The following is a 13,109-nucleotide window of genomic DNA, read 5'->3' on the forward strand; positions in this document are numbered from 1 at the left end:
AACAAAAACAAAAATATATATATATAGAAATAAAATTATCAAGATTTTTTTAAGAAATAAGTTTGTGATATATTTCTTTGTTAGCACATCAAATGCAAGATCTAGTGGTGAGTCTAATAATTTCTGTGATATTGAAACAATGATAAGCGTTAATGATAAATTCAAAATATCCTCAACAACTATAATGTGATATGAAGGTATCTGTGATTTCTATTGGTGAGAAAGTCACAGGTATTGCTAATGCATCTGTAGCTTGTTGTCTACATTCATAATGAAAAGAAATGCTAATTTTTAAATAATGATTGGTAGAAATGAAAATGTAAGTTTTTCATCCAAGTTTATGGACTTCTGCTTTTCCTTGATTGCATTTGCAAATCTCCTTACTTCCTCTTGAAGAACCCCTTAGAGGGAGGAAGAGGGGGCAGTTCTAATAGTACCTTAGAGATATGAAATGAGATGGTCACAGCCATATGAGTAGATTTTGATTGGATTACACTGGGCCCAAGTTTGGAGTGTCAACATTAAACCTGTGATATAAGATCTTGTTCCTAAGATGAAAAGTAACTTTATATTGTAATCCTGTAGAGTTGAGATCTTGAGAAGCATTCCCTTGATAAGAGGACACTGGAGGAAGTGTCAAAATCACCTTCAAAGTAGGAGAGTGGTAACCAGAGCCAGGAAGGACTTGATAAGGATGAGTGAATCACCTCTGCTTGGTGAATGAGCCCAGGGTGGAGCTCAGCCTCCATCCAGGGAGCTTCAGTCTCCATCCAGGGAGTCTTTGTCAAGCAAACAGAGCAAATCCCCAGAGAGGAGGGGATCTGCAGTAAGGGTGGGAGAGGCACATGCAGATCAGGCAGAACAGCCTGTAGCCTGGCAGCAGAGAGCAGAGAGAGAGCCCAAGCAGGAGTGTCTTCCTGAAGAGTAGACAACGATTGATCATTTAAACTTCATTCAAATTAAGAACTTTCACTTATCAATAGACATTACTGAAGAAAATGGAAAGGCAAACCACATACTGGGAGGAAAATATTCAAGACATATATCTGACAGAAGATTCATATCCACCATATCCACAATATATAAAGAGCTCTTACAAGTCAAAAACAAATACAACCCAAAGATCATAAATGTACAAAAGACTCCACAGACACTTCACAAAGAGGATATCCAAATGGCCAGTAAGCATTTGAAAAGGTGCTCAATATCATTAGTCATCAGGACATGCAAATTAAGCCTTCACTCAAATACACAAATTGCAGAAGGACTGAAAAAGTAGAAATTCATGATGTCAAGTGTTGGAGAGGATATGGAGCAACTGAAACTCACACACTGTGGGTGGGAACGTACACTAGTATACCCACTTTGGAAAGCTTTTAGTATCTACTAAAACAAAGCACAAATTGATGCCCAAGACCCAGTAACTCCATTCTTAGTTATAGGCCCAAGATTGGATTTGTCTACCAAAAGACAGGTACAAGAATATAGCTTTATGTATTTTATATATTTATAAATATAAATATTCATTTATATAAATATTTATCAACTTTATTCACTATAGCATCAACCTGGAAAGAACCCAAATTGCAGTATATTTACACATAGGAATATCACGTAGCAATGAAAAAGAACAAACTATCACTATACACAAAGTGGGTGAACCGTATAGTCATAATGTAGAGCAAAAGGAGCCAGATGTAAAAGAGTATACACAGTATGATTCCATTTATGTGAAAGATGAGAACAGGCAAAACAAATCTATGGTGATAAAGGTCAGGATAGAATTTACTTTTGCAGGATGGGGAATTGATTGGGAGAGGACACAAGGGCACCTTCTGTGGTGCTGAGTTATAAATATTATTGACTTTCTGAAAAGTGATTTGGAAATGCAGTCAAGTAAAAGCAGACTGCCATACTGTAGATTCACTCCCTCTGACTCTGGTTTTATATTACAAAAGGATTTCACTTGGGCCATAGGAGCATGAAGAGAGTACAAGGGCAAGCTACAAACTGGCAAACGATTCTTGCAATAGACGTATCTGATGAATGGCGTGCATCCAGTTAAAAAATGTGCAAAAGATTCAAACTTTATAAAAGAAGATAACCAAATGGCTAATAAGTGTAGGGAAAGTTGCTCAATATCTTTATTCGTCAGGGAAATGCAGATTAAAACCACAATCCCACAAAATAATACACGCCCACGAAATGACTGAAATACCAAAGGTGGGCAAGCATTGAGCAATGGAACTCTCCCACACTGCTGATGGGAATGAAAAATGGCATAGTCATAGTGGAAACCAGCTGTATCTACGAACGCTAAGCATGTGCCTATAAGGCAAGAGCCCTTCGTGACTGGTCCAGGAGCCCAGTTAAATAAGAACAGGGAGAAGGACCAGAAATCTTGTCTAATGAAGTCTGCCAGGCTTAGGAAACTCTATTTTAAATGTTTGGGGTTTTTTTCCTTAGATTTCTAGCAAAGTTCTTTTTTTTTTTTTTTTTTTTTTTTTTTTTGCAAAATCCCAGCATTATCTTGGTTTAATTAAAGGAGAAGGGGAATTGTCTGCTTCGTTCAGAATAGTAAGGGAAATGAGAAGTCCAGTCTGCTGGTGGACATGGCTGGGTCAGCAAGAATACCTGGGAACACTGTGGAGCCCTGGAGTGAGTTGGCAAGTCAGGATAGTTCAAGGTTTCTCTTGTGGGGCCCCAGGGGAAAACACTGAGAAAGCTACTCACCTCCTTCTACCACTGTCCAGGAAATGGTCTATCCCTTCTTAGAGCTCTAGCTGCCCATGGGTGGCACAAACAACATGTGTGCCTTGCACAGAGGTGTTTCTGCAGCCCTCACTTCTGTACTGGTAAGCCAGTGCTGCAGGAACTGGCATGGGAGCCTGGCAACAGAATTGAGAATCCAGCTCGGGAGGGGAGGATGAAGGTGATGGGGACGAGGACTTGGGGTAAGGGGAGCAAAGTGGCCGAAGAATTAAGATGACCAGAGCCAACAGAAGGCCCCCCTTCCAGCTCTCCTCTTGTGAGCCCATCCATCAGCATGGCCTTCTGGCCCCACATTGATGCTTCCCATGAAAATTGGTGCCGGGATGGACAAGCTCCAGGGTGACTCAACAAACAGCAAACAGCACAAGGATGGCTGGGGATTTGACATCTGTTCCATGTCCCATAATGAAAACTTATTTCTCCTAAACACTGAGGATGGCAGCTACAAATACCAACCTTTGTGGCTCACTGTCAACATATTTTTTCCTAGTTTGAGAATTTTCTCAGGAGATGCAACCGATGATGCACCCCAGACTCCCCAAGTCACATGTCAAAGTTCCAACTTATGGCAACTCAGTCCTTGAACAAAATGTGAAGTATAAGATACTAGCCCTCTTGTGATAGAAAGGGGTTTTTTTGTTCATTTGTGTTTTTTTTTAGGTTTCTATTAAACTTAGACCCCTTTCACATGTGTTGTTCTGTTCATGTGTTGTTTGGAAGACTGACTTTTCAACCTCATATTCATTGTTGTCATCATCCACCTACATGTATTAGGCACTTACTGTACGTAGAATGCTGTGTTTATCACAGAAGCGTTGTATATAAACTCATACAAGGTATCCATAGGATGACCAAGGTCTTGTTATTAAATCCCAAGATACCATTCATTCATTCATGCACTCAGAGAATCATTTTGTCAGCCTCTACCATGTGCCCAGCACCATGTGGCTGTTGGTGACACAACAGAAAGCAGCAGAACAGAAGAAGTCTCTGCCCCAACAGTGCTAATGGTCCAGTAAGGGAGGAAGATTTTAACTTTTTTTAAAAAATTTTATTTATTATTTTTTTGAGATGGAGTCTCGCTCTATTGCCCAGACTGGAGTGAGTGCAGTGGTGTAATCTCGGCTCACTGCAACCTCCACCTTCCAGGTTCAAGCAATTCTCATGCCTCAGCCTCCCAGGTAGCTGGGACTACAGGCGTACACCACCATGCCCAGCTACTTTTTGTATTTTTAGTAGAGACGGGGTTTTGCCATGTTGGACAGGCTGGTCTTGAACTCCTGACCTCAAGTGATCCACCCGCCTCGGCCTCCCGAAGTGCTGGGATTACAGGTGTGAGTCACCATGCCCAGCCAGTATTTTGACTTTTAGAAATCACTCCTGTCTGCACATTTCACATTCCCCAACCCTAAACTACCAAAAGAAGGTAGTTGTTAAGTTTAGAATCATCAGGGGTACACAGTGGGATAGAAACTCACTGCACTTTGAGAGGGTGAGATTTATACAGACTGGCAGGGAGAAATAACCAAACAGGCTGAGGAGGCTGTGACTGGTAGTTGCATCATACATTGTAGGGGGTTTGGGGCTATTTGAAGGAAGGCAGCTGTGGCATCCTGCAAACTAAGAGACGCGGCCGTGGAGGAAGAACGGCAGGGCTGTTCTCATTTGGTTGTGTGAGGTCTGTTGCCCACCATGTGGTTGAGACTCCCTAAAGCTGATTTCAGAGAGTAGGTGGAATCTGGGGTGAGGGGGTAGGAGGTGGGGTTCAGGGCAGGTGGAGACCCAGACTGAAGGGAAGGAGAATGTTGTTGTAGGCATCCCTCTGACTGGGTCTCCACAGACAAAGAAGAATGAAGGAAGAGAATTCAACAATATTACTACCCACTCATAGGAAGGGAGAGGATGATGTATTTGCAGCTGCTGTTCACTTTACAAACACCTTCACACATATGGTCGCACTTGTTTCTCTAAATAGCTTTTGAAGTAGGCAAGGCGGGCCATTTCACAGAGGAGAGAACCAAGGCATCTTTCTAATTGAGATTAAGGGATTTGCTCAATACCACACCACTTATTAAGTGGCAGAGGGGGCACTTGAACCTGCTTCCTCTGTTAGTCCTGTCTTCTTTCCATAGGCATGAATATTATTATTTAAATTTGCAGAGACCCCCATCCAGGAGCCCAGAACCTCCCAAGATGAAGGTTTGCTCCTGAACTTGGCAAATAACATTGACAATTCTGCCAGGAAGGAATCTTGCATTTGTCAGAACACTTCCCAGAAGGGCTGCCTCTGTGTGCTGAAGAGAAAACAGATGTCAGGGACTAGTTCTCAGCCTGCAACATTCAGTCCACTTTATTTTCTTCCACAGGCAGATTGAGACAGAGGGATTCCTCCCTGCCTGACAAGGCCAGTATTATGCACATGGAATATAAATAGCTGTCTCTACCATATGATTCTAGGACTGGTGTCAGTAAACTTTCTATAAAGGTCCAGATAGTAAATGTTTTAGGGTTTTTAGGCCACATGCAATTTCTGTTACAACTACTTAACTCCGCCATTGAGGCGTGAAAGCCACCATAGACAATGTATAAATGATGGGGATGGCTGTGTTCCAGTAAAACTTTATGGACACTGAAATGTGCATTTCATATAATTTTCACATGTCACAAAATGGTATTCTTCCATTGACTTTTTTTCAACTATTTAAAAATACAAACACCATTCTTAGCTTGTGGATTATACAAAACAGGTGTTGGGCAAGGTTTGGCCCATAGGTTTAGAAGACCAAAGAGCTCTCTCTGTCCCAAATATTGTCCCCATAGAGACCTGGATTTCCAACTTCCACCATCAGCTTCACCATCAGTACTCCATTCCTCTTTCTTTCTCTCTTTTTTCTTTCCTTCTCTTTCTTTTTTTTTTTTTTTTTTTTTTTTTTTTTTTTTTAGACAGGTCTTGCTCTGTTGCCCTCTGTTGCCCTCTGTTGCCCTGGCTGGAGTGCAGTGGCACAATCATAGCTCACCATAGCCTTGAACACCTTGGCTCAAGTGATTCTCCTGCCTCAGCCTCCTGAGTAGCTGGGACTACAGGCACACTCCACCACACCTGGCTGGTACTCATCCCTTTTGGGTTTCACTGTACTTTTTCAGACTCTTCTTTTTAAGAAGCAGGCATCCAGGGAGGAGGATGATTAGAAAGAAGCCTCAGTTCTCGGCTGGGCATAGTGGCTCATGCCTGTAATCCCAGCACTTTGGGAGGCCGAGGTGGTGGATCACAAGGTCAGGAGTTCGAGACCAGCCTGGTCAACATGGTGAAACCCCATCTCTACTAAGAAAAATACCAAAAACAATTAGCCAGGCATGGTGGCATGCGCTTGTAATCCCAGCTACTCGGGAGGCTGAGGGGGAGCATTGCTTGAACCCAGGAGGTAGAAGCTGCAGTGAGCTGAGATCGCGCCACTGCACTCCAGCCTGGGTGACAGAGCAAGACTTCATCTCAAAAAAAAATAAATAAATAAAACCAAAAAAGAAAGAAAGAAAGAAAGAAGCCTCAGTTCTCTCCTCCGTGAAATGCCGTGCCTACTTCAAAGGCTATTAAGAGAAACAAGTGCAATCATACGTGTGAAGGTGAAAAATGAACACTAGCTGCAAATACATCACCCTAACTTCATTTTAGAGCTTTATTAGACGTGTTAGAATGTAAGTGCCGTGAGGGCAGGGCCTTTGTCTGTTTGGTTCACTGTTAAGTTCACTATTAAGTGCCTAAGACAAGGAACTGAGTTGCATAAATACTCTGTATAAATATTAGTTGAGTGGATGAATGACTTTCCCTTCTAATTTGAAGGATTGGAGCCACCAGAAGAGATGGTTGGGGCAGTGAAGGCAAGGGGTGGTGGGTGAGTGGGCAGAGGTGACAAAGATAAAGCAATCACTTAACTGATGTTCCTGCAAGCCCTGGCCTGGGAGGTGCTGAAGTCTGCTGATGCTCTCGGAAATCAGTGGGCTTGGAAGAGGCAGGGCACAGGGTATGCCAGTGCCCATGAAGCCTGGGAAGGGAGTCAGGAAAGACCCAGCAGTTGCACATGGCACCCGGAGAAGCGGCACCAGGGCCTGATGGACTCACCCGATCCATTTCCGTGGAGTGGTGCAGTCTCTGCCAAGAAAAACTTTAGGACTTGACAAGATTTGGCAAGTCCCTGAAACATGAATTTGTGCAGTGTAAAGTTACAAGGGCCTTTTGGCAGATGGGGCAAATCCAAAAGACGGTGGAAAAATGTGCATGGGATGTCAAAACTCACTATTTCTGCAGGAAAGTGCCAAGGAAAGGGAAGGCTAAAAGAGGGCAGAGAATGAAGACACACCGTCCCCATCCCCCTAAACTGGCCACACATTTTTCTGGGTCAGACACATCATAAAATGCTATAGGACTGAATGAATGCAATGAATGTGGCATATGTTATTAAAAATAACCAGGGTTCCTCACTGCAACCACAGTGAAAAATACCAACCAGGATGCTTACTGAATGGAAAAGTTCTTGCAAATAAACTGTCCCAGTAAAGGACTCCAGCCTTGATTTCTCACCCTGAGTGTTCCTTATGTCCTTATGCAGAACAAGAATCACAACCAGCCATCCCCCAGCTGCCCACAAATCTGATCCTCATCTCTTCATTTATTTATTTATATTTGAGATAAAGTCTGCCCAGGCTAGGGTGCAGTGGCATGATATCAGCTTACTGCAACCTCCACCTCCTGGACTCAAGCGATCCTCCCACCTGGACTCAAGCGATCCTCCTGGACTCAAGCGATCCTCCCAACGTGTTGGGATTATAGGCATGAGCTACCACACCTGGCCGCTTATTGATGTTGAAATCTGACTGGGTAATTTCCCAAATTTATACAAGGATAGACCAGACCAGCCACTCTTTTTCTGGTAGATAAGTCAAGCGGGGGCCCAGCAAGACCTTCCAGATGTTGCTAGGGGGGTGAGGTTTCCACACACCTGGTCCAGGATCCCCTGCATGGGGAGGAACCACTAGGGCAAACTGAGCTCTCCATATGACCTAGAGTCTGGACCTGCAACAGAAGAGGTCAACATTTGGGGCCAACATAAAAATAACAAAACTTTAGGGAATGCCTGTGACGCATTGTGGAGACATACGCTTCAGGTCTCTTCCTTGATATACCCACAGCAGCATGGCAGAGAAGCTAAGAGTCCATTAGACTCAGGATCATATCCTGGACCTTGATCTTACTAGCTGTTTGACTTGGGGACATTACATTGCCTCACCGTGGCTTGACTTCATCAGCTGTAGGGTGGGAGTAATATTTACCTCATTGACTTATGAGAGTTGATTGAAATAAAATGTGTAATGCAACTAGTACAGTACCTGGCATATAGGAGGTATGTGACAAATAGTATTTGCTGTTATTTTTAACTGCAATTTAATAAAACAATTTCCTTTTGCTCTCAATTAGCAAGGCTTCAACTCCCCATTGCCCAGCCTCCAGGAAGAGAAAGAGGCCCTCCTATGCCTCCTGACATCGCATTCCCTACTCCCCAAACTCATCTGCTAAAGTTCTCTCATGGAGAGGATAGCAAGCAGGTGCCCAGTTGAGTATGGCTCAAAGTGGCCCTCCAGTCTCATGAAATTGTTTTGAAGTCTCAGCTTTAATTTAAATACGCTTGTCAACTTTGCATTTTACTCCATAAAATCTTTTGATATATTAAATCTTATCAGTTTGTTCTCCCAGAATTTTTGAGTAACTTCAAGATTCTGTGAAGACAAATGTTCCCCTTAAACACATATCCCTGTTGGAGAATCTCACACTAACATCACCTCTGCCAGTGGAAGGTCAGCAGGTTCGAGGAGGGAGGCTTCAAGTTAGACCAGCAAGGATGACTTCATGGAAATGGTGAGGCCTGGGCTGGCCTAGTAGGATATGGACTCATGGGAAGAAGGAATAAATGTCTTGAGCAGAGGTCTGGAGGTGGAGAACACAAATGGAACTCCCAAAGAACCATGAAGAAACACGGTTCTGGAAACCAAGAACGAGGATTCCTTCTCAGCTGAAAGTCACTAATCTTTGTGTCTCATTCCAGTAAAACCCAATCCCACAGGAGTCAGAGTTGCATTCCAAGGCCATCAGTCACCTTCAGCAGCCACACACTCCCATCTCTCTCCTTACTCACTCCGTACATGTTTTTCACCTGGACAGGAGCCCCTGCACAAGCGTGGCTGGTGCCAGGCATTGCTCTCCAGCCTCCCTCAGGACTTATGGTCATTAAGACATTTCTCATAATGAACACATAAGCCCCAACACACCCAGCCCTCCCCGCCCATCTCAGCAGCCAGCCTTCAAGTTTTGCCCTCTGCCATCCCAGGCCAGGCACTCTGTCACTGTGGGAATTGTCCTTGCTTTCCTCCCTCTCCCCTTCCTTCCTCTGTGAAGCTTCCTTCCTGGAAGTTTTAAGGAGAGGCCAGAGCCACAGAGCCACATGGGAGGCTGGATTCTGATGCTCCATAAATTGAAGCTGAGTTCTCCTACATAAGACTGCCTCAGCACGCTCAGCAAACTTGCTTCTCTTCACCAGACCACTTCCGTTTTGCTCTTCCCATTTTAGCTGTCTTCCTCCAGGATCCAGTGGAGCCATACAGGAAGCACAGCAAGGGGCAGTCAGTTGGAGGACCTAACAGTGCCTTCTGCCCCTGGCACATTCACCAGAGAAGAAGACTACTCTGGGACTCACCAGTATGGGATGGTGCTATGGCAACAGTCTCCTTGGAGCTCACTGGATCCTTAGAATTATTTTGTGATGCTTGTTCTGCATCTTGAAATGACAACCTGTGCCTCTGGGACTCAGCTGCAAGGAAGACAAGTGGAAGGCAAGTGGACATGTTTTTCTGTGTATCCCAAAACAGGTAGCAGTGTCCTTGCAGGTGAGAGCCCTCTTTCCACTTGCTCCCTACAGTGCTGAGAACATTATAGGTCTTAATAATACTTGATGAAAGATATAGTGGTTTCCAGCCAACATGTTTAGATATCTATCCCTCTTCTCCACATACACCGACATGGAGTATCGATTCTTTAATTTGGAAAGACAGAAGTTGCAATAGGGCAACATATAATGGTATTACAGGCTAGGCAATCAGATGAAACATGGAGAACCAACTTAGGTGGTCCAGATATTACAGCGTAACTCTCCATCTGTAAAATGGAGATGAAACTACCTAAATAATAGGCATGTGGTGAAACAATTTAGCAAAAGTGAACATTTAGCAAAGGGTTTAGAACATCATAGATTCCTAGTAGTAGTCATTTACTTCTTTCTCTCTTTGGTTGGTCATCAAATTCGAGTTGGTAAAAGTAAAATGGCTCCGTTGGAAGCTAGGAGAGAAAGATATATCCACTTAAGACAGTAGGAGGTCAATTTATGAAATTAACTCTTCCTAGATGTGGCCCTGATGGAAAAATATGAAGAGCTCACAGGAGTATTTGGCTATACCGTGATAGCTGTTTCTCTGAATGTTCAGTCCATGCTCTGCCTTCTGGGGTTGTGGAGATGGCTCCTCACAGTCCCATCCCCAAGCCACACCTGAGTGTCTCAGCAGTCATGAATTCTAGGCTGGACAGACCCCGGGGCTGCTGACGCCACGGAGGCCTTTCTTGGGCTCTGGCCTTCTTTGCCCCACTCTGGCTGGCTAACAGCCAGCACCCAAGCCTTAAGTTAATAGGAGACAAAGAGTGGCTTCAAAAGTCTCCTTAGGGCTTTGGGGAGGAACTTGGAGATGCTTGAAAGGGGTACAGGAAGAACAGATCCCATGCATCACTGCTTCTCGTCAGTAAGGTGGGTCATGGTGGATGGCACCCATGGTACAGTCCTTTCTCCACTCTGGCAGAGGCTAAGATGCTGCCTCTTGATCAGAGAATAAGCACTTAAGGCAATCATAACCAATGCCAGCATTCTCCATCCGCGTGGAGTGTGCAGAACTGACCACGGCTGACAGCATTTAATTTCCCAAACTAAACTGGGTAGAATTTGTTTAATATCTGTTTAGCTTCAACAACCCCATTGAACATCAAGAACAAGTCAAAAGACCAGTGAGGTTTCGACTAAACTGGATTTGTTTGTTTTTGTTTTGTTTCACTGCTGTAAGGAGAGGGCAAACACTACAGAATTCTGTAGAATGAAACCACTTGCTTAGTGAAATTGCCTTAATTTAAACAGCGATTTCTTTCCAGAAAGTTAGTAAATCAGCAGAATGTGGCCCAGAGGCAGGCAGATAGGAGGAATAGGTAAAAAGTTTAAGTCATCTGCTTGGATCACACAGCACAGGAAAGCCAAAGGAAAGAAGAAAAACAACTTCTTCTACAACAGGAATTTGTTCTCATTCCTGGTTCACAATTCTTTCTGGGAGAGGTGTATATGTATATATACGTATGTATATATATTATATAATATGTATATACACATATATATTATATATTTATTTTAATTTTAATTTTTATTTTATTTTATTTTATTTTTGAGATGGAGTCTCGCTTTGTCACCCAGGCTGGAGTGCAGTGGCGCAATCTTGGCTCACTGCAAGCTCCGCCTCCCAGGTTCACACCATTCTCCTGCCTCAGCTTCCTGAGTAGCTGGGACTACAGGCACCTGCCACCACACCTAGCTAATTTTTTGTATTTTTAGTAGAGATGGGGTTTCACCGTATTAGTCAGGATGGTCTCGATCTCCTGAGCTCGTGATCTGCCTGCCTCAGCCTCCCAAAGTGCTGGGATTACAGGTGTGAGCCACCGTGCCTGGCCGGTATATATTTTTTATGTAAAACTTTTTCACATTTGGTCTCCAAATTTAACCCAAGACAAGGCTGTACCGGTCTTGGAGGTGAAGGTCACCCATATCAACAAAAAGGCTTCCTGCTGTAAAATTCTCTCCGATCATCCGCTAAGGTCCTGTGTCTCTGGCTGTCCACTGTGGCTGCAGTGCTGGCCATAGCTGGAGGATTCCCGCCACTGGGTTCTTTGCTTCTGCTTCTGCTTCCAGACTGCCCAGAAAGGCTGGAGCAAATGTCATGACTGTGCAGACGAGGATGTTGCAGAGCCGGGCTTCCATCTTCAGCTTCTCAATGCCCTATTATTCATTCCTGCCTGACTTTCTGTTCCGTGTCCTCCCTGCCTCAAATTTCCAAGCCACTTCTCTCTTCCCATCACCTTCATCCCCAGCCCTCACTCTCAGCATAGGATCTCATTGTTTCCTTCCCCGGCAGGCTGCCTGCACCCTCGCTCCCCCTTGTCTTTACCTTAACTGTTCTCTGGTCTATCGCACCTTCTTCCTGCTGCTTTGCAAGCCCACCTGCTCCACCCCTTCCTGCCCCTCCCATGATCCTGCTCCATCAGAGTCCCCTCTTGGGTGCCTTTCAATCTCTCCCTCCTTATTATTTATCCTTGAATATTGCTCAAGGGCCCATCACCCAAAAAAAACTTTCCATGCAGTCATCATGGTGAAACTTCTTTAAAGCCAGGTGCAAAATCTTTCTGCCTCTACTTCCCACACCCTGCTCAACTTCTTTATTGCCCAACCCAACTGCCTCACCATCTCCCCTTCTTGGGTCTCCTTGAAGCATCAGAAATACCTTCCAGCCTTTCTTCTTGGAACTTCCCTCCCTTTTCCTCATGGCCCGTCTCCTACTAACCCTGCCGTTCCATGTTGTCTGTTGCACTGGCTCCCCTAGATGTGGGCATTCCTCAGAGTTCTGCCTTCCTCCTGTTTTGTTCCATCTATCTGTTTACTCTTCCCTGGGTACTCCTTCATGACAGTCACCACCAACAACTCCAACTCCATGTATCCAATTGTAACTAGTGTTTTCTTTTCTCTTTCCCCAAATCCATTTCTCTCTCAGAGTTGCCAGTCTCTGTCCTGCCCATGGTCACCTTCTCAGGCACCCCGAAGAGAGCACTTCCCTTCCTCCCACCACACCTGACTGGCTGCCCCTGACCTCTGCAGGGTCCCCAGCATCTATCCCCTCCCTCCAGGAACACTGCCTCTGCCTTGCCAGTCCTCCTCCTCTCTGACCTGGGCTACTGAAGTAGCCTCTGGTCCTCCTGCCTCTAATATCATCCCTTCTCAGCTTGTCCTTTTTATGGCTTACAGGGTCAATTATGAATATATAGGTTGGGTTGCATCACCACTCACTCCATCCACAAGTCTCCAACACCTTTAAGGGTTATCTGCGGTTTGCAAAACAAAGCATCTCAAAACTCCTAATTCCACTTTCCACTCCCACCAACACACTCACACAAACACATACACACCCCACACACACCCCACAGGTGCTTAACT

At 44.5% G+C, this 13,109-nt stretch overlaps 1 long non-coding RNA gene across 1 annotated transcript in view; it reads right to left on the bottom strand.

Annotated features, from left to right (window-relative positions):
• LINC01121 (long intergenic non-protein coding RNA 1121) overlaps positions 1–13,109 on the bottom strand; it is an 80,601-nt gene that overhangs the window by 1,535 nt on the left and 65,957 nt on the right. The window lies entirely within an intron of this gene.

The sequence above is a fragment of the Homo sapiens genome, chromosome 2 (genome assembly GCF_000001405.40).
Source record: "Homo sapiens chromosome 2, GRCh38.p14 Primary Assembly".
NCBI classification, from domain to species: Eukaryota; Metazoa; Chordata; class Mammalia; order Primates; family Hominidae; genus Homo; species Homo sapiens.